Source organism: Homo sapiens, chromosome 14 (genome assembly GCF_000001405.40).
Source record: "Homo sapiens chromosome 14, GRCh38.p14 Primary Assembly".
Lineage (NCBI taxonomy): Eukaryota > Metazoa > Chordata > Mammalia > Primates > Hominidae > Homo > Homo sapiens.
The window spans coordinates 59,351,187-59,373,428 of record NC_000014.9 but is presented as its reverse complement, the minus strand read 5'-3'; the positions used below and the strand labels follow the sequence as shown (position 1 = coordinate 59,373,428).

Here is a 22,242-nt window from a genome sequence, read left to right as displayed (position 1 = left end):
CTGAAAAATTCCCCATCACCTAGTGACACTGTAGTGCATTGCATTACTCATGTGTTTGAGGTGATGCTGGCATAAAACAAGCTATTGAGCTGCCCGTTTTATAAAACTATAGCACATCCACATGAACAGTACGTTAATACTTGACAATGATATGTGTTACTAGTTTATTTACTACAAATGTGTTATTTTGAAGTATACTCATTTTTTTTTTAAAGTTAACTGTAAAACAACCTCAGGCAGGTCCTTCAGGAGGTACTCCAGAAGGCATTGTTATCACAGATGACAGCTCCATGCGGGTTATTGCTCCTGAAGCCTTCCAGTGGGACAAGATGCGTAGTGAAGACAGTCTCATTGATGATCCTGACCCCATGTAGGCATAGGCTAATATGTCTTAGTTTTTAACAAAAAAAGTTTAAAAAGTTAAAGTTAAAAACCAAAAAAAGCTAATAGAGTAAGGATGTGAAGAAAATACCTTTGTACAGCTGTGTTTTAAACAGTTATTATAAATCAAAACACTAAATGTTAATAAAGTAAAAGTTATAGTAAGCTAAGTTTTATTACATAATTTAAAAAATAAATTTAGTCTAGCATAGATGTACAATGTTGATAAAGCCCACAGTAGTGTATGTCCTAGGCCTTCACATTCACTCACCACTCACTGACTAACCTGGAGCAACTTCCAGTTCTGCAAGCTCCATTCATGGTAAGTGCCCCATATAGATGCACCATCTTCAATGTTTTATATGGTATTTTTACTGTATCTTTTCTATAGATATGTTTAGATACACAAATATCATTGTTAAAATTGCCTACACTATTCAGTGCAGTAACATGCTGTGCAGTTTGTAGCCTAGGAGCAATAGGCTTTGTATACCATATAGCCTAGGTGTGTAGTAGGCTATGCTATCTACATTTGTGTAAGTATACTCTATGATGTATGCACAACAATGAAATCAGCTTTTGGCACAATTTCTCAGAATGTGTCCTTGTTAAATGACACATGACTGTAATTGTGTCGAAAGCACAGTATTTTAATAAAGGTTATCCCTTGACTAACAAAAAAAATGCACATTAGGTTATAGAAAAGGGGCAAAGTTCTGGATGGATCACATAACTTCACCCCTCTGTCAGAAGCACATTTCCTTCAGTGATCATTGTTTTGGGGAAACTGAAGACAATGAAGCATATGATCTGAAAATTTCACATTCTCCCCCCTTTCTATTAATACACCAAGGTCAACTGAGGATCTAGGTGGTTCTGTACATAATTCCATACCCAAATATACAAATAGGCAGTGGCTGAGTTTGTGGGTGGGAATATAACATTTGTCTAACATGCAGAAGGGTCTCTCCTATCTGAGTGTCAGCTCCACAGAACGTTGTTACTATGAAGCCATGCAGTGAGGTGATAAAAAACAAGATGGTCAGCTATTACAAGAACATCATGAGTTCATTCCAAAGATGATAAGAATTAGTGTTTGGACTGCTTGGGTATTTTATCAGTCACTGGGGCAGTTTGTTTCCAACGTGAACTTAAATTGAGCTAAGGGTGGCTAGGCAGCAAATGTGATGTAGGACAAAGGGAAAGCTTCAACTTTCAGAGGATACTGATAAACAAATTTCTTGATCTGTATGGGTGCCATTTCCCATACTGACCCATATCAAGTTAATTTTTAATAAGAAAAACATGCCTCAAAACAAAAAGGCTTTGATTCTAGAGACTAGAGATTATTTTCTCTACTCTAGTTGAATAATTTCACCAGTAGCCCTACCATACATGAGTTATAACAAGAAATTGTATAACTCATACATAAACCAAGTATAGAAAGAGGTGGCATATGATAACCTGAACATACTGAATGCTGCCATAATAGAAAACTATATTCTTCTAGGTCCAGTAAGTACAAGTTTAAAAACAGGTATATATTTCCGATTCAGTGAACAATTTGCAAAATTGAAATTCAATGGTGGAAACTGCAAAGCAGTTTGATGACACTGTTTTAATAATTCATAGAAAGCATATATGTACACCCAATGAATTCATCTCTTTATTGCATATTGCTATTTTTAAAAAAACATGTACAGTCTCATAACACATACTTTTTTTTTCTCAGTACTATCTAACAACAGTCTTGCACCTAAAGACTAAGTGGTTCCAACTACTAAGCTAATAAGATATAAGACATATAATTAAGTTTACAAATTATGCATTTTCTTTTTGGCATTAATTTAAAAAAACAAAAAAAGTTTAAAATACACACCCAAGAGAGAAAAGTGGCTACTTACACCAGCACCAATCTAAAAAGTAGGTTTTTTTTTTGTTTTTTTTTTTTCTTTTCAACAATGGCACATGGAATTACCTGCACACAGTTTTCAGGGAAAGAAACCAAAAATGGAAATGGCAAAGGAGGCCCACCAGGATGGCCATATCAAAGGAGGATGATTAAAAGGGGCAAGAGGGACAGCTACACAAACTTGCTCCTTTATGTGACTTTCCCTCCACCTGTCTATTCCTTAAACTGTAAGACAAAGCCATTTTCAAAATACAGTTCCAAAACTGAGCCAGACCAAATTTATCCTGCTACAAATAGAAAAGAATATACATAGAGGCACTTTAGTTAAGGAACAGACAAAACCATCATTATATTCCAATCTTCCTCATCTCCAAGCCTTTTTGAGCCAAGTCTCTATCTGCACCTTTAACATGGTGTTATTGCAGACCTGGGTTAACTCGGGATTGGGGGAGTGCAACCTCTGCTTTGTATTTATGACTGTTTTATTTGCTAGTCATTTATTTCCATATAGTGTGTAGAAAGTCACTAAATTTGCAATGAGGAAAAGATGTAAAACCACAGCTCTTGACAACTCTTAGAGCACTATTTCACAGCTTTCACATAGCACAGATAACTCGCCATCTGTGCTAAGCATTATAGTTTATACAAATTATTTTTAAATAGTATGATTCCTGTACAGTGCACACATTGGTATTCTATTCATCCCTTAATATCCCCATTAGAATATAAGCTCTTTGGGGGCAGGGACTCTGTCTTGCTTACCATTGTAGCCCTACTATGCCTGGTACATAGTAGGAACTTAATAAATATTTGTTAATTGACTGAAAAACTCAATTTAGTGAGTAAATAATGTTCTAGTGCAACAGGACAAACTACTCTCTCCACAGGAAACCCAACCACAACAGGATCAATAGAAAGAAAAGAGAAAACGTTAGCCCCCAACTACAAATAAATAAAGCAAAGCCAAAAAAAAAAAAAAAAAAAAAAAAAAGTAAAAAAGTAACAGTCCTCTTTATATATCACATAATTTAAGGATATTAAGAGTTGGTAGGTTAATGGTAAGCATCTATATTTTATTTTCTAATGTTCATTGATTTTATTCATGTCTCCCTGAGAGCTTTATTTTTTTGGACTGAAATTTTACAGGTAGCTTTACTGACACACAATTTTAAAATGACAACATATAAACAGCAATCACTTCAAATATACTTAGAGATAAATAGATCTGGGCATCTCTGCTGATGTTGACATTTTGTGCATTCTTTATGTATCCTTTAGTCCAGACCTATATTTACAGAAAATGCAGCTTGTCCTACAAAACAGAAAATAGAAACTATAACAAAAAGGCACCCCATTAATTTTTTTTTTTTTTTTTTTTTTTTAGTAATCTTTATCCCTTCAGAGAATTCTTCCTTTAAGTCTTGGGTGAGATATTTTATTATTTTTAAGGTTTATATATCTATATTGTTAGAACAAGCATACTCTGGCAATGTTGTTCTTTAAAAAAAGCATGGATTGCATTTATATAGTGTTTTTTTCCAAAAATCTGAAGAAATTATCAAGAGCACTTGGCAGAGATAACTTGATGAAATCAGGGGAAAAAATTGATGTCCAACTTTTAAATATACAAAAACTTGATTGACATTCTACATAATTCAAATTGTGTGCAAGATGTTCTCAATAAACATTTACAGACTGTATCCCCACACCAATGTCAGAAATTCAAAGCTGGTCCTATTACTGATGTGATACATCAACATCACAATGTCAGCTATCAAAAATCATTTTAAATCTATGTTTTTCCAACAACTCCAGTTCCATCAATGAAAATAATTTTAAAGGATATCAAGCTTGGAAACCATAAAATATTTTGCAAGCTTTTTTTGTTTGTTTGTTTGTTTCTTCTGTTTTGCCTTTGAATCTAGGGAATGTCTCTTATCTCTTTCAGGAGATAGTATTGTGCTTCTGAACAGTCATGGCGTTCGGGGAAAGAAAATGAGCCACACTCAATGTGAATGCATACACGAAAGGTTTTGGAGCACATACATTAACATAAATCTTTTTAACCATACGTATAGGTCTCCAGACAACACTCAGACATCTATATACATTTTTTAATATATACACACATACATTTACATACACACGTTCACACATTCACTCACAGATGAAGGAAAAAATTGCCACTGTTTGGATTGCAAGGCAGTGTAATGAAACGTTCTAGTCACTTTAGAGGGCTGCTAATGAGCTTTCTAAAAAAAAGTATTCATGGAAAATTAGAAATTAAGTTTTGTGATTGGTCTCTCTCTGCTGCTGTCAGTCATCTGGTTGGTAATACGTTTGCGATTCCGTTTCAATTTAGAAAGGTCTTTGTCAAACACTTCTCCTGAGCGTAAAGCTGAAACAAGGTCATCAAACTCTCCGCTTTCTTCACTATTCTCTTTAGCTTTTCTCATTTTACGTTCCCTTTCACGTTGTTCTTTGAGCTGCAAATAGAAAGAAATAACCTCTTTGAGACATGTCAAAATGTTGCATTTTGTTTGCAGTAGAGGTCAATTCCTTGAAATATGGTAATGCTCCAGACACCAAGCTATGCTCATCCTATAACCCCCTTTGGATATCACAAGAAAGGGGGAATTGGAACATGGGGTCTCCATTGCAGGAGCAATGGACAACAAAAAACAACCACTCCCTTGTGGTTAGACCCTCACCACCTAGATTCTAGGTAAACTGCATGATATTCTAGTTAAAATAAGAGCAATTGAGGCAATTTGTGTTTCTGCTAATGAAAATTAAAAAAAAGGTATCACTATTACATAGACCCCAAATAACTAAAGCAAATGGTCATCAGGCCATTTTCCTTATATCAAAGGCTTAGCTTGTGTCTACTGTGGAAGCCTGAAACCTGATACACAATAGTTACTGTTATTAAAAGCCAACTAATACATACACATTGTAGACAATTTGGATAATTCAGATAAAAGGAAGGTGGGGGAAACATCTTTAATTCTACTACTGTGAACTTTTTAAAGGTTTATCACACCACTATTATTTTCTATATGTATTAACACACCTTAAAAAACAAAACAGAAAAAGATTTCATGTAGAAATCTTTTTCTGTATCATTATTCTTTGAATACATGTCTTTCAAGGACTGCATAAATATTCCATTATATGGCTGTTATATCATTTAGAACTCATCCCCTTTTGGTAAACATTTAGGTTGTCTTTAGCTTGGTGCTATTATAAAGAATGCTGCCCTTTTTTGTGTAAATTTATGATTATTTCTTTAAAATAATTGCTAAGAAATGGAATTCCAGAGCAAAGGATGTGGATAGATTTTTTTTTTAAGGCTTTGAATATACACTGTTAAATAGCCCAAGAGAAACAACACCAATGTAAAGTCCCACAGCATTCTAGAGAGTACATTGAAGCCTTCCTTCCTGCCAGGTCAGAGTGCTCTCTAAATACCTTTGACTGGGCTGCAGTCATAGAACTTCTAGGAGGTGGAATTGGTCAATTAATCATCCTCTCACCTGAGCTTCCATGCGAGCTCGACGTTCTTCTTCCTCCTTTTTCTTTCTCATATTTTCGTTTTCTTGTTTGGCTTCTGACACAGCTTGAAGAAATTGATCAAAAATGCCAAAGAACTCATCTGGTTGTATTTTGCCAGCCTCTTCCCCAAAGTGCTTCACTGCTTTAGTAAACTAGGAAAAAGATGGTTTTAAGAAGTCAATGTTTCATGAGAATTCCACAATCAAATATAAATAACTTGAGAAAGACCAAAGCCCAGATTGAGTCAAACGTAAGTTTTGTTTGCTCATTTATTTTTATTTCTTTCTTTCTTTTGGAGATGGAGTTTCGCCATCACCCAGGCTGGAGTGCAGTGGCATGATCCCAGCTCACTGCAACCTCTGTCTCTCGGGTTCAAGCGATTCTCCAGCCTCAACCTCCCAAGTAGCTGGGATTACAGGCACAAACCACCATGCCTGGCTAATTTTTGTATTTTTAGTAGAGTCAGGATTTTGCCATGTTGGCCGGGCTGGTCTCAACTTCTGACCTCAGGTGATCTGCCCACCTTGGCCTCCCAAAGTGCTGGGATTACAGGTTTCAGCCACCACACCCGGCAGTTTTTTTTTGTTGTTTTGTTTTAAGAGATGGGGTCTTACATGTTGCCCAGGCTGGAATGCATATGTTATTAGTTTTTTTTTTTTTTAATAGATGGGGTCTTACATGTTACCCAGGTTGGAGTTTAGTGGCTATTCAGAGGTATGATCACAGCAAAATACAGCCAAAAACTCCTGGGCAATCCTTCCTCTTAAGCCTCACGAGTAGCTGGGACTATAGGCATGTGCCGCTGCACCCGGCTGAGTCAAATATAACTGATGGATTTTAGTGAGCCTATATTTATCTTCAGCTGCTGAACATGTCTATTAATCATTTCTAAAGTAAAAATTGTAATACTCCTCAGCTTTTGAAACCATTTATTCCTGTCTACCTCATTTGAGCTTAACATGTATGATGACCTCCTATGACTTTTTATTAACTAAACAGTAGTAAAAACAAAATATTGTAGGGTATAGCACCCTAGACATAAAACTAATAGCAAACTCAGCAGGGGGAGGGAAACTTGTACTTTTAACTTGTCTTTGAAGTAGTTTAATATCATTTACTGGTGCCATATGGTCAATATAGAAAGCAAATGGGAGCCAGTGCCTCTTAGCTGCTTTTCCCAATCACAAATAATGCTGCTATTGTTAAGATATTTTCAGGGTCTCAGTGAGAAAACAGCAACTGAGTATGGAATCTTTAATGCAACCCAAAGTGTATGACTGAGAATACAATTTTATTCCAAATTCTTTGCTTTAGAACCCCTTTCAATGCCAATCTTTAAAAAAAATTTTTTTTTAAAAAGATATGGGGTATTGCAATGTTACATTGCCCAGGCTGGACTCAAACACCTAGGCACAAGTGATCCTGCCACAGCCTCCTGAGTAGCTGGGACTATAGGTACATGCCACCATGCCCCAGTGTCAATCTTTTTAAATGGCCAAAATGCAAAATACCAAGAAATTTTTAAAGTTAAATAAAAATATATGTATACAGTAACAATAGTATATCCAGTCTCTTTTTAGTTCTTCCAGGGGTTATCTCCATAACTCAAGATAGTATGTTTTCAATAGTCTTAGCATTATTATAACTACCCAAATAATATTCAATGTCAAATTGTTTGTTAAAATTATACTTCCTTCTGTAAGGATCTAATGTTATTACTCCTAAGCTACTAAGGATAGTGTTCCTAGCTTCAAAGTCAAATACATTTTTCCCTACGCCCAATCAACTACTTAACATTTTCCAGATTTTAAGTTTTCTTCATATTTAGACCATGCTGTGTTTATGCAGTGCCCCCAAACAGCTTATAATTGGTTTTTTTATTGCTTTACTTGCCTTTGTTATATTGTTAGATTCTTCTGATATCTCAGTAATACCATCTACCTTAAATATTTTCAACATTTATTTTTAAATAAAACAAGTATTGGCTTATATTTATATATATTTTACAGTTACTATTTCATATCTTTAAACTTGTAACAAAAGTGTCCTTTTTACCATTTCTGTCTTCACTGAGGAGTTGTTTTCAATGTTTACTTATTTGGAAATATTCTATTAGAAAAGAGTTCTTTGGGCAAAAACATAACATTCTTCAGACGCCATATATAGTGTTCTAGCTTGCTCCATGGTTTTATATGCTAACTTATAAAAGTTCTGGTATGAACAAAATAGCAATAGCCAGTCTACAACTGGATTTCTAAAACATTCAAGTTCACATACTTCAAGCCATCCTGAGTGATCTTTTTATCAAGGAATTCTAGTGATCATGACGTCATGTATATCAAAATCTTAGAAATCTAAAGAAAACCAGGCCCAGATTAAAGTTCCACCCCCTACACACACACACCCCAGTCAGTGTGCAAGGGGAAAATTTACCAGGTCTTTATGTTCTGCTAGAAGATCTTCAACATCAGAGAAGCGCGATGCTGGCTACTGTGATGAACAAGCTGACAACAGCCAGTTCACACACAAAAATGTTTGAGCCCCTTGATGAAGTAGGTGCTATATTGCTCAGGTGGGATATCAGAACAGGGGGAGTCTCTTCCTTTATGAAGCACAAACTCTAAAGTGGTGAGGCATACATAAAACATGGATGGGGGCTTTCACAGTGGAGGTCTGAATGGTGGTTGCTGACATGAGTTGACTGATTTCCACTGTGGGATATCAGAGGTTGGACCTCTGACAGCAGCCATTTGAACATATATTGCCATTTATTTTATAAGGTTAGAAAGAAGGTTTAATGCTGAGATTAGCTAATGCATGTGAACAGCCTACTTTTGAACTTTAACTGGTATGTGTGTACATTTACATAAACAATCATCCATATCTACAACCAAACAGGTGACCAGAGAAAAATAACATCCATTTACAGAAGTTTCGAAACAAAAGACTCAGAGTGTTGTGGCAACTGAGAGATGGGTAGAGTAAAAGAACCAATGGGGTGGGGAAGAGTGTTAATATCATTTATAAAGAATGAGAAGAGGATAGAAAATGAGAGACTGTGTACCTGTCTTGTATATGAATGTGAATGCATTTTGGAAGAGGAAACAACCTGAGATAGAGAGGAGTGAGGTGAAGCTGAGGGAGCTAAGAGGTGGTGGTTATTAACCAACAAAAATTTCTCTTCCAAGGGAACACAAAATGTGAAATAGCAGAAATCATAAAAATAAATGTCTTACTGAAAAAAAAAAAAACCTCTTGTAATGAGACTGTGAATTAAAATGCATCTCTTTTAGCGAGTTCTGCTGGAGATTTATACAGGTAGTATCCTGTCCTCCAAGGCTGTATCTCAGATGAGCATATTACAACATAGAGGTAATTTAGGCACATGGCTTTAGTAACACCTGATTGCACATTTGATGCTGCCCCTGGTTTTCATCATCTACTCTTTTCTGGTTCCCAGAGATAAGTACTTCAAGCCAGTTTCAACCAAGAGAAAACTGTCAAAGTATTTGCTGGTCTTATACCATTCAGAGCCTTCAAGGTCTTGCTAACCTAAAGGCAACATAGGCCAGTCAGACAAAAAGGGTGTGTTCAGATTAATCACAGTCTTGGAAATGAAAATACACCTATGTCATGCAAAACAATGGAATCTGGAAAGTAATTATCTACTACTTTATTTCCTGCACCACGAAGTTTGGATCTCACTCCTGCTATTTCCCGTACAGAATAATAACTGAAAGTATCACACTGAAGCCCAGCCCGGTCAAACAACACTCAGTGCACAAGGGGGAAACTTACCAGGTCTTTAGCTTCTGCTAGAAGGTCTTCAACATCAGAGAAGCTGAAGCTGGCTACTGTGATGAACTGGCTGACAACAGACACAAACTTATCTCCGGGCTGTGGGGGCTGAGACTTCTGATATTCCAGCTCCTTAAACACAGGAAATGAATAATGTCAATGCAGGCTTCAAATACAGACATGAGACACACCTCGTCTCATATTTCACATGCCTTAAATTTAATAAATCAGAATGGCAAACACATCAAAACTTGTTCTAAAACATTTTGTTATACTCTAGTGCCCCTGCCCTTCCTCCCACCATGCCAAAGCCATGCCCATGTGCACACGCATATTTGCAAATAGCAATTTACCAACAATCTAAGTACTTGATCTATGTGATTTCTCTTTCAGGCTTTAGAAAGCAAGCAGATTTGCATTTGGATAAAATTAATAGAAGTTAAACAAATAATGGGGGCAAACTGAATTTTAAGGGTTTGTGAGTGAAAACAAGAGACTCTGCTTGTCAATATTCCATGCTTAGAATTGTGGTGCCTTGATTTTTTTCTTTCCCTCTCAGCCAAGTCTATTTACTTCTTAAACTGTGGGATATGGGTAGTAGAATTTTGGCTGTAGCATTTGGCACCATAATGTACCATTTTTCTCTTGTCCATACCATATTGGTTTTTGTGAACAGGCCTGTAGGGGAATTAGTCTCTTGTTAATTATCCATATTTCCATTATCACAGCAATGAACGCAGATGATTCAAATCTAATGTTAATGGTTAATTTAATCATTGCCAGATGCACATTCTTATTTAAAGTTCACAACATCCCTATGAGTGAGGGATCACTATTCCCATTATACAAACATATAAATTAAGGTTTGGAGGGCTATATTACTTGCCCTGAAGTAGTGCTGACCAGTGACAGAGCCAGAATTTGAACTCAGGCCTGCCTGACTCCAGAGTCTTGGTAATAACTATGTTGTATACCAATTGACTTAAACTGGATTCTCCCTTATTTTCTTGCATTGGCAGAGATCTTCACAAGCAGGAGCGTAGTCATCACAGTTTATCAGTTCTGACTCAGCTCTACCACTGATTTGGTTCTTAACCATGGCATGTTGCTCTGGGCCTCAGTTTATTGATTTTTTTTTTTTTTTTTGTAAGAGGGCAACATCCACATCATCACTACACTCAAATGAAATAACGGAAGTGAAAACTCATCAATTATGGAGCTGGCACTGATTGGAAGAAATTGCCATGATTCCAGTACTTTAGCTTGGAAAGTGAGTGTATCTGTGTTCAGTGTGGGGACGGGAAAGGCATTTGAAAGTGTTTCATTAATGTATAATTTCATAAATATTCATCTTTGATACCTTCAAACAATATAATTAATTTGTGTAAAGCACAATTAGAACACATATATATTTGGCCAGGCGAAGCTCTGCCCCCACTATTTTCTTACAATACTACGTCACCTCCAAGGGTAGGGGAGGCTTCTATAGCCCCTCTCCTATAAAAAGTGTGATGCAGTGTATATGACCCAAGGGATAGAGTGATTTCAGCAAAACTATCCTTTAATAAAGCAACAACACAAAATTTCCCCAGAAGCCTCCACCCCAGGCCTTGCTCTGACCTGGCTCAGAAGCAGGGGTCAGAGCCAGGCTTTAGGGCCATCATAATGACCATGGACCCTCTGGGGCTGGGAGAAAAAGTTCAATCAGTAGAATTTTTTTTTTAATACTGCCCCCTACTCCCTACATTAAAAAAAAAAAAAAAGGAAAAAAACCTCACATGCTCCTTAATTTATTGAAAAAAAAATTAGACATTGTGACTTTAATTTTTATTAGAGGTATGTCTTTAATTAATTCAACTACTTTCTATGGCAGTTTTGTGATTCAAAAACGAAAAGAAGGGAGAGTCCTCACAGCATTACTGATAAATGATCTGAAGGATACTTATGAGAGGCACCTTTCCAAGCTGCCTGCAAATCCGTCTCCTTCACCCAGAGCAGGCCCAAGCTATGGCTGCTTTGAGCACAGACACCAGGGACGCTACTCTGCCAGCCTGTTCTCATCCCTGCCCCCTCTCTCGCTGGCAGCTGCATCTGCAGAGTACCCGCAGGGCACTGTGCCAACAGGCACGTTTCATCCTACCAGGTCCAGTCTGCCAGCCTGACTGGTTTTCCTTCCTCAGAGGCCTGGGCCCAGGTTGTCTTGTATGCCTGGGATAACCTCCCTCTATGCACCTAAGTTTACCCTACCCTCTTAAGCCATAGCTCAAACAACTTCTTTTCCAAAAGAGAAGCTTCCTCCAATAGGGGCCAATTGTTCCTCATGCCTCCAAAGCACCCTCAACCCGCTGCTTCCTTAAGGCACCTCCGTAATCACTCTGCTTATCTGGATGCGGCCAGGCTGAGGGAAGTGGCTGCTCCGATTATTGCAACACCTGGAGGACAAGGATTCTGAGTCATCGTGACCCTCAGCTAGAGCATGTACTACACTGTCTGCTTAGTAAATACTCCCCAAAGGACCAAGTCAAAAACAACTGAGAAGTTCTACAGAGAAGTTCTACTGCTCTACCGAAAGTGAACACCATATATTAGCAGCACTTGGAAACTGAGAGCGTCCCTGAAGATCATCTAGCCCAGCCCACTCATCCTGATGAATCCTGCCTTACAGATAAATTGGTGGCACACTAGGTCCAGTTTCCAGTTCCTGCTGCAGTGACTTATCCACGACCCCTGCTGCCTGCAATCAAGTTGCCAGGCTGAACATAACCTGCCTTTGCTTCTTGTGGTGGTGGTTCTTATTTTTTAATCAATAAATGTTTATCCCGGGCATACCACATGCCAACACAACCCATCTGCTGAAAACCACCAGCACTAGAGATAGTGAAGAGACCAGGAATTAGAACAACAACAAAAAAATACTCACTGTCTCTACTGCTTTCAAGCCACTTCTCAAGGTACTTATTTCTTTGTCCAGCTCAGTCATGCTGTTGTAAATAGCAATGTTTTAGCAATCAACATGTGACTTACACATATTAAATATAAGATGGGTTTAAATATTTCACGCTTGGAAGTCCATCCTATTTTAATTTAAATGTTTAAAATTCCCTTCCATGCTCAGATCTCAAAGAAAGACAACAGTATTTTAAACTCATGAAATGTAGGTATAAAATTATGTTTGTTTTCTGTAGCCAGCAGGTATATTTTACAGGTTAAAAATAGAATAGAAATATCTTCCATCTGTACAAAAATATTTTATGTTTCAAACTCAAAAAAATCTCACTTCAGCAAATTACTTCATGTAGAAATAAATCTCTTGCCATACTTGGCTCCCTTTGAAAACAGAAAGAAAACAAGTTCATCTGCAATCATGTTCACATTGTACTCTGTATAATCAGTGTTCTGCTTTTCACTAAGGCCCCAATAATATGACTATTACAAGGTAATGGCTTAAGTTGCAATCAAAAATGATTTTTCTTAAAGTTGTATTAACTAGTTTTTATTTTCATCTTTTTTTTAATAGAGAAAGGTTCTTGGGCTTCTCCCATACACAACACTTTCTATTTCATGGCTTTTAAACATTAGAGATTGAAACTTAATTCTCCCAGATAATTTACAACATATAAAGAAACTCACCAATACTTCATTTAATTTCATGCCTTATTTAGTATATTTCCACCAGATTCCATGAACAGAGGGAAAAAATGAGCCTGCTCATTATACTTTTCAAATTCACTGCAAAAAGATGCAGTTTATGTTTTAAAAAAAGAGCCAAAAGAGGGAGGGAAAAACAGCAAGGAAAATTGCCTGCTTCTCAGTCTCTGAAACGTGGTGTGAAGTTTGTGGTAAAAGTTTGGCAACTTTCCATTTTATTTTTAGTTTCTTCATTTGCATAAAGAATGCTTCCCATTAAAGAGCCGCCTTGGTTTCTGGGAGTATGTGTGCATATGTGAAAATTATTGCAATGTTCTGACACTTAGGTCTTCTATTTGCTTAGCCATGCATCTTTATTTAACTAAGGTGCTCCTACCTGTATTTAAAACACCTGCCCTTTAAAAGTATGAAAGTTAAAAATTGCATGCAGTATTCCAAAGAAGCTAGAACAAACATATATTCAAAACCTTGTAATACATTTGAGTGACTTGGATGAGATTCAAACTTTATTTCATACAATGATCAGGGGAAAACAAATAGAAGGACTGACTTCATGCAGTGCAAACTACCTCAATGGCTAACACACAATCCAAGTGATTTAAGAAACTAACACTCACTGTAAGTACTTACTTTACTTTCGCAGCTTGAGGAATATCTCGCAATTCTTCATTTAGATTGAGAACACTGGGGTACTTATTTTCCACAATAGTGATGAGATAGTGCAAAAGGGTAATGTTTCTACAATTGAAGAAGGGAAGAGTATTAAACATTCAAATTATTTTCATTTAAACTACATAAATATATGAATAGTTAATATCTGCATATGATTTATATGCTCAAATGGTAGAACCCACAATAATGCTATATTACCTGCATTAACTTCAAAATTTGGAGGATCATGTAAGGCAGGGATTCTCAAGAGACAGGAATAATGGGAGAGCCTCCATGGGGATTGCATAGATATATGTCAAAAAGCACACAATTTCTAAAAAGAGGATAAGAATTACATTTGTGGCCCATAATGAGCATCTTTCAAAATCTGGGTAATGTGATGGGTGATCTAAGTGAATCTGAACCACTGCCAGTGGAGACAAGCTCAAGTTTACCTTCCCAGTGGATCCACCCTAAAATGGGGTGTGCCCTGCAGGTTTATAACTAGTAGGCTTGGGTGGAGTGGAGTGGGGTGGGGTGGAGAGTGAGGGATGTTTATTCCACCGAAAAGGGCAGCTATTCTTAAGTCTAAAGTACAGAGCAGCAACTCACTGATGACAATTATTGATACTTTTTTTTTTTTTTTTGAGATGGGGTCTGTTGCCCAGGCTGGAGTGCAGTGGTGCAATCTCAGCTCACTGCAACCTCCGCCTCCTGGGTTCAAGTGATTATCCTGCCTCAGCCTCCCGAGTAGCTGGGATTACAGGCGCCAGCCACCATGCCCGGCTAATTTTCATGTTTTCAGTAGAGACAGGGTTTCACCATGTTGGTCAGGATGGTCCCCAACTCCTGACCTCAGGTGATCCACCCGCCTCGGCCTCCCAAAGTGCTGGGATTATAGGTGTGAGCCACCGTGTCTGGCCTACTGATAGTTTTTAATAAGGTTTCACCCAAAGGGTGGTCAGAAAGTTAGAAAGCCCCCTTTCTCTGGGCTGAACCTGGAAGTGGGCCATAACTGCCACCATGTGATATCCTAGCAGCCCTGAATCCACTTCCTAATTTAGCAACACTTCAGCTCCTAACTGCATAACTCTTAGTAGTTAAAACAGTTGGTTGTGCCAGCTCCCTCTCTGGTGGTGACAGGGCTGAACTCTGACTGACCTGGATGGAAAAGGCCAGCAAGTAGGATAACAGTATCTATTAGGCAACACTGTGTTGGTCTGATCCCATTGTCACTGACTGCTACGCATTACAATCACCTGGACTCCAGATGCCTGGGCTAACCCCAGAGATTCATTTAATTGGAATGAGGTGGAGTCAGGCATGGGCATTCTTTAAAACTCCCTGTTGATTTTATCAAGCAACCAGGATCAAGAACTACTTATCTGTTGAAGTTAGAATTAGGAGGGTAAAAATACATTCCTTTAAAAAACATTTCCATAATTTAGGCAGTTTGCTAATTCACAATGCTAAACCCCAGTATTCCAACTCACCTCTAACCAAAATGAATCAGAGTTTTCAAACAATTTTCTTTACCCTTGCATTTCATAGAAACAATGCAATCCTTAAATCCTTATTTTTCTCACAGTCTCTCAATAGTTAGAAAACAATTGCCCACCAAAGCAAAACAGTGGCCAACAATTTTGGCCACTTATTTTTCATATGTTCAGCTGCATCCTTCCATTTCATTTTTTTTTTTCTCTTTTGAGATGGAGTCTCGCTCTGTCACCCAGGCTGGAGTACAGTGGTGCGATCTGGGCTCACTGCAACCTCTGCCTTCTGGGTTCAAGCGATTCTCCTGCTCCAGCCTCCTGAGTAGCTGGGACTACAAGCGCATGACACCACGCCTGGATAACTTTTTCTATTTGTAGTAGAGACGAGGTTTCACCACGTTAGCCAGGATGGTCTCCATCTCCTGACCTCATGATCTTCCGGCCTCGGCCTCCCAAAGTGCTGGGATTACAGGTGTGAGCCACTGCACCCAGCCTCCATTTCAATTTTGCTCTTCACAGAACCTACCTGTCATCTGCCCATGTGATTCTTACCTAAGGGGTACAAGGAGTGAGCAAAATGCCAGCCACCATCACAAGAAAGAGTGAGGCTATTTTTTTCATTTTTTAAAAGAAATGCTTTGCTATTGAGAGACTTCTTACCTAAGGGGTACAAGGAGTGAGCAAAATGCCAGCCGCCATCACAAGGAAGAGTGAGCCTATTTTTTTCACTTTTTAAAAGAAATGCTTTGCTATTGACAGACATTTCAATTAATTGCATTAACCATACACATCTTTCTTGCTATAGAAAGGTTTAAAACCATGCCTGAGCTTCATTTGTTTGCGATCCAAATAATACCTCATTTGACTAAATGCAAATTCTTAAAAGAAGGAACAGCAACAGCCACACATTTGATTCTTCCCTGCTCATTACCAGTAACTGAGCCTTCAATGCTGAGTGAATGCACCCTTCCTGCTGACTGTCCCACCACCTACACTATCTGATTAGATTCAACTGAACAACGTTCATGGGTGACTGCTTACAGGCAAAGCACTTTGCTAGGCATGCAGGTGTATAAGGTGTGGGCGCTGCATTTGGGGACCAAATATTAAAGGCAGAAAAAAAAGAGGAAACAGAAAGATCAGAAATAGTTGCAGATTGTTCTTTTGAAAAGGCTTGTACTTTATGTAAATTCTGTAGTAACCTCAGTAAATAAGCAGATAATCACGTAAGTGCCAGGTTATTGGTAAGTATTGGGGATGGGTGATTGCTTTTGTGTGTGTACAGTTGAAGAGAATGCCCTTCCTTAAAAAGGCTCTTTAGACACAAATAAGATCTTCCATTCCCTACTTCAACCTCCAAATAAGATCCTTCTGCTGCTAATAGAGCTGTGGATGGACCAACAACACAGGTGTCAAATACCTGTAAGGCCGAATACCTTGCTTGTTGTAACCATAGGCAAGCTGAATGAGCCACCTGACCCTGAGTCAGTTTCTTACCTGACAACAGGTGACAACAGTATTTGGCTTGTGTACTTCACAGGCTAGTGGGACAATCAAATGTGAAAGTGCTCTGAAAAGGATCAAGTGTTTACATTAAAAATAAGGTGGCAGGGCTATAACAACAGCTGCTCTTCATTAATCTATCTCTACACGATGCAAAAACAACAAATTAACACATTGCTTATTTCTTCTTGGATGGATTTAAGGTTGCCAGAATACTATGCTTCACGAACCCTATAGAAAATATAGGGTAAAAGCCCCTATTAGTTAGAAATAATTAGGGTGAACAGCCCATATTTCTAAAAAGAATTTGGGTATGAAGAAGCTTACCTTAGAAACAATTGTGCAAGTTCCTTTGAAGTCAGTGTGAACCTCAGAGAAACAGAGCTCTCAAGGAAACTCAAGTTAATATGCCTAATGACCCTACCCTGTTAATGACACAAGAACGTTTTCACATCTTGGTGTCTTTAATGAGAATCTGTTCACCTAAAATGCAGCATTGAACACTTTCTAGGAAGCATTTTAATGAGACCTGCAATGAGCAACTAAGTATCAATAGCCAAAATGCATTTATACATAAGTTTTTAATATAGTTGCTACCTCCACTGTATAAATAAAAACACAACCTAAAAACCCCAAAAGCTTCATATTCTAACACCAACTATCGGTTTTTTTCTTTTCTGTGGAACACAGTTTTCTGTAGAGGGGTCATGGGGAGATGTCGAGTGCTGGTAACATTCTGTCCTTGATCTGGGCGCTGGTTATGCAGGTGTGTTTAATTTGTGAAAAATTATCAAGCCCAGCATTTGTGATGACTGACCTCTTCTTAGTATATTATAATAAAAAGTTTACAAAAAATAATTTTTTAAAAAGGCAGGACAAAACAAAAACAACAGCAAAACTTAGAACAGATGATGTCCCAGTGGACCAAAAATGGATGAAGGATAATTGGTCCAACAGGAATGTGGGAGATGCCTGCGGTCATGAGAGAGGTTTAGAGAAGAGTCAATGTCAGAGAAGGGAAGAAAGTAGTGAGAAAGAGAAGTTCCAACTGAAGAATGCAGTGTCATGAAGGCTGAGGAGGACCAGAGAGGCATAAATCTGAGCCTGGACCTACACACCTGGCTCCCCCAAGTGTTGGAAGATCTCATACTTACTTGTCGATGCTGGATTTTGTGTCAGCAATTTTGTTTAGGCTAGATATCTTGAATCCATATGCATTCCCTCTTTGACCTTTATTCATATAATTTCCAAATGCCAAAACCACCTCCAGCAACTGCTTGAGGGCACCACTCCTAAACACCTCTTCTGAGCCAGAACGAATTGCTTCAAAACAAAACACATAAAAACATGATTACCAAGTGTTTCGTTGTTTGAAATCAAGATGTTTCAGTGATACCCATTCTAAATTCACACACTTAATAACAGATATTGAAGATGTAAGACTGAGTTATTGGGTTACCAAGAGCACTTTCAAAACGCTTACACCAGAAGCAAAGAACAAGGACAGGGAGAGCCAACTCAAGTTGTTACCAACACCCATAGACAGCTGCAAAATCCTATCCTTTCTCAGGCCTTTCTTGGCTGACTCATCAGTCATAAGCACTGAGGAATATCTAGAATAGCAATCCCATCTCCAAGATTTCTTTACAAACACTTACTTGTCTGGTGTGAGTCAGGTTAACAGGAGTATTGATCAATTCCACTGACAGAAAACTAGTTAAATGTGTTACATGTCATAGCTTGCAGGTGTCATAACAGGGATCAGAGCTTAGGCAGATGCCTGATTCCAGCCTGCGTTCCGTGGCTGTGCTCTTCAGTTGCCTTGCCCACATTTCAAACATTTACAAATTTTAAAAATCAAACCATACAACAGCCTCAAATCTTCCCTTTAAAAAAGCTACTAAGGCTCTGTTGTGAGGAAGCTAATTACAGGTTTAATGCTAGTAGCAGTGAGATTAACTCCTCACCAACACCCTCGTAGTCAAAAGCCCAACCCTGTAGAGGAGCCCAGGAGGCGTGCTGTGAGCTCCGAGACTAGGGCAGTGCATCAAGCACTGACCTTAAGTAATCACCCCTCAGAATTTTAAAAGAAAGACCTTGAGCCAAAAAATAAAATAAAAAATCACCAGGCCAGGCGCAGTGGCTCACGCCTGTAATCCCAGCACTTTGGGAGGCCAAGGTGGGCAGATCACGAGGTCAGGAGATTGAGACCATCCTGGCTAACGTGGTGAAACCCCGTCTCTACTAAAAGTACAAAAAATTAGCCAGGCGTGGTGGCAGGCACCTGTAGTCCCAGCTACTCAGGAAGCTGAGGCAGGAGAATGGCATGAACCTGGGAGGCGGAGCTTGCACTGAGCCAAGATCGCGCTACTGCACTCCAGCCTGGGCAACTGTGCAAGACTCCGTCTCAAAAAAAAAAAAAAAATCACCAAGGGGATCTTGTTTACTATATGCACTTGGATTGCACTTTTAAATGGGTTGTAATGATGAACATCATTTCCAATCTAGACAGCTTGACTTTACCTTCCACTTTAGGTTTCACTTCTGCCACACGCTCTGCAAACTTCTTTTTGAAGTACAGCGATTGCAACCTTTGCTGATAGTGATTAATTCTGTAAGAGCAAACATGTACTAATTGATATTCATTTAATATATCTAGGTTCACTTAATAACAGATATGGAGGTGGAGGTACCTAGAAGCACCTCCCCCAATACCCACCCACTCCCCCGACACACATACATTAGTTGTTCTCATGGACAGGAACACAGGACATTAAGCCAGCTTTGCCTGGAGAGCCCATTTTGGTCTGACCTACAGGGGCTACTTGGCCAACTGCAGCAGAGTCCTTAGCGCCCATCAAGGCAACTGCTAAAAGAAAGTGGGAGCCTGCTGCTGCTGCTGTTGACTGAAGCGCATCTCTCCTCCCTCAGAGTCCCAGGAACTCTTTTGAGCATAGAAGAGATAAAAGGGAATGAAAATGTAAAGAATACCCTACTGCAAATAAAGGACAGTTCCGTACACTTCTCCCAAATTCCAAATTTCTTAACTTTCCATTTTACTTTCCAAAGTAAAAACTGGTCTCCAACATCCGCTTCCCACATTGTCCTCTCCTCACTCCCATCTGCAAACCTCCCTCTGTCTTCATAGTGAGCACCCTCTCTACACCCCTAAAGGAGAAAACTGTGCCCTGAGGTTCACTGAAAGTTTCAGGACCACTGGTCCTTCTCTAATGAGGAATCAATTTTCTAGGCCTGAGATAGCAGATCGACTTAGCTCATATGCCAAACCCAATTACGAAGCTGTGGCTGCCTCAGGGCTTTCTGGAGAAGGGTTCAGAGAGCTTGCCAAGGCTCCGTGGGAAGAGTGCCATGATTGATTAGTGATGTCTGCATGTGTCATGATCTGACATCTAGACCCTGGTTGTTCAGTTATGGGGGCTTGAGGCTGACATTGTCAGAGTCTGTCCATATATTTTTTTTTCTTTTTTTTTTTTTTGTTTTACAACCACCTTGCCATGCTAAGCTACTTGGAAGTATGAGACACTATCCCAAGAAATCAGACTGGTGAGGAGAATGATACTGACTGGAATCAAGAAAAGTTATTACTTGATAAGGCCAAAGGGGCCCAGAAATAGAGATAATTGTGAAAAAACCCTCACCGTGGCTCATCCATAGACAAGAAGTGACATAAACAGAACAAATTCCACATCACTCAGACTTGAGAAGATTTTTAGAATGAAAAAGCTTTCAAGTTAAGCCAGGTTAATTGGCCCAAACAATTCAACATGAATTGAAAATTCATGAAGCTTAGAAAGGGAAGTGACATCTTCACATTCCCAGCATTTTCAAACTCACCGGCTCATCTCAAAAAGGAACCTATCAGCCTTGGCCATCCGATCCAGTTCGTGTTTATGTTCCTCCAATAGGTCAATGTCACTTTTTTCAGGAACAAATTTCAAGAGCTGAAAAGTACACACGAATATTAAAACTGAGGTTTATCACTTAAATCCATGTAGTAATTTTTCACCCTTTCAGTTAATCTGTCCCAAGATAAAATGTTAACTCTTGTTGAGTGTATAAGCTCTGCTCACAGGTTAAGATACAATAGAAATGATTAAATCTTTTCATTTTTACTTGGAAGTAGTTAAATGGGTATAAGATTCATTCCTGGCACCTTTCTGTTCTCTACTGCCTCTCAAATCAGAATTGTGGGAGTTCTCTACTGGAACCTCTTTTTCACAGACCACTAGAAGGACCTTAGGGAGTCAATGCTCTCATCAGAATATGATACAACTGAGGTCCAGGGAGAGTAAGCCACTCACCCAGGATTACAAAGCAAGTGTGGGTAGTGATTAGAAATAGAACCTAGGTCTCTTGACTCCCAGCTCTGTGCCTTTTTCTGTTACATCATGCTGGAATGAATAATTCCATTTGTAGTTTCCATTCCATTTTCTTATTTTTCTGGTTTATCTAATTCAATCTTTTTTTTTCCCCTTCCATGCAGAGCTGGGTGAGAGGAACACAGTGGGATTTGATGTTTTTAATTTCGTATTTTATTTTGAAGGAAGAAATGAGCATGGGATGTGGAAGAAATAGTAAAATATTTAAAACTGAAACAGTGCTTCTGTACGTGTCTGATTTCCTTTCAAGGTACACACGTTTTGGATGTGTATGCAAGACCTGTGGACTCATGCTGTTTTCTAGATCAAATGCCCTTAACTTTTTTTTTTTTTTAAAACATTGACCTTCTTGACTTTGAGGCTCTCCCCAGAATTTGATGCTGGAATTAGACGATCCATTTAGTAGGTTTTCAAATGTTTGTTGGATTTAACTGAGGGACCTCAGAAAAGGCAGTTAGTCTGGGTGTCATCAGCAGAGAGAGGGAATTGGAATTACAGGCAGGTGTTGTGTGAGGCTGGAATACATTCCAGGCAGAGTGTATACTATGTGCCGGGGTCTGGAACGGGCAGCACAGCACTTATGCAGGTGGAAGGGCAGTGGTAACATCAGTGGGAGAGGGCAGGGCAGGGTAGGCAAAGGCAGGGAGTAGCAAGGCCTTATAAGAAGTTCTGTCTTTACTTTGAGGGCACTGGGACATACCTTAAAAATCTCACGTAGGAGAGTGAGTTTACGTTTTTTTAAAAAATTGCCGTGCTTGCAGGATGGAAAAAGAATTAGAAGAGATTAAAAATGATTAGATAGTGGTATAGTAAGTAATCTAGGTGAGAGATGATGGTGGCCTGGATAGGGTGGAGCTAGTGGACAGATTCTAGAGCTATTTATGAGACTAAAATGGAACTG

The 22,242-nt window shown here is 38.7% G+C and overlaps 1 protein-coding gene across 5 annotated transcripts in view; it reads right to left on the bottom strand.

Annotated features, from left to right (window-relative positions):
* DAAM1 (dishevelled associated activator of morphogenesis 1) overlaps nt 2,024-22,242 on the bottom strand; it is a 182,739-nt gene continuing 162,520 nt past the window's right edge. For 4 of the 5 annotated variants that reach the window (XM_005267431.2, XM_047431135.1, XM_005267430.3 and 1 more), the window contains 8 exons: nt 20,797-20,903; nt 19,465-19,553; nt 18,096-18,264; nt 13,925-14,032; nt 12,567-12,627; nt 9,647-9,778; nt 5,830-6,000; nt 2,024-4,779 (listed from right to left, as the gene is read on the bottom strand). In XM_005267431.2, coding sequence (XP_005267488.1) covers nt 4,570-4,779; nt 5,830-6,000; nt 9,647-9,778; nt 12,567-12,627; nt 13,925-14,032; nt 18,096-18,264; nt 19,465-19,553; nt 20,797-20,903 — 1,047 coding nt within the window. In that variant the 3' untranslated portion in view covers nt 2,024-4,569. The remainder of the gene's footprint in view (nt 4,780-5,829; nt 6,001-9,646; nt 9,779-12,566; nt 12,628-13,924; nt 14,033-18,095; nt 18,265-19,464; nt 19,554-20,796; nt 20,904-22,242) is intronic. The other variant, NM_001270520.2, reaches the window with a different exon arrangement.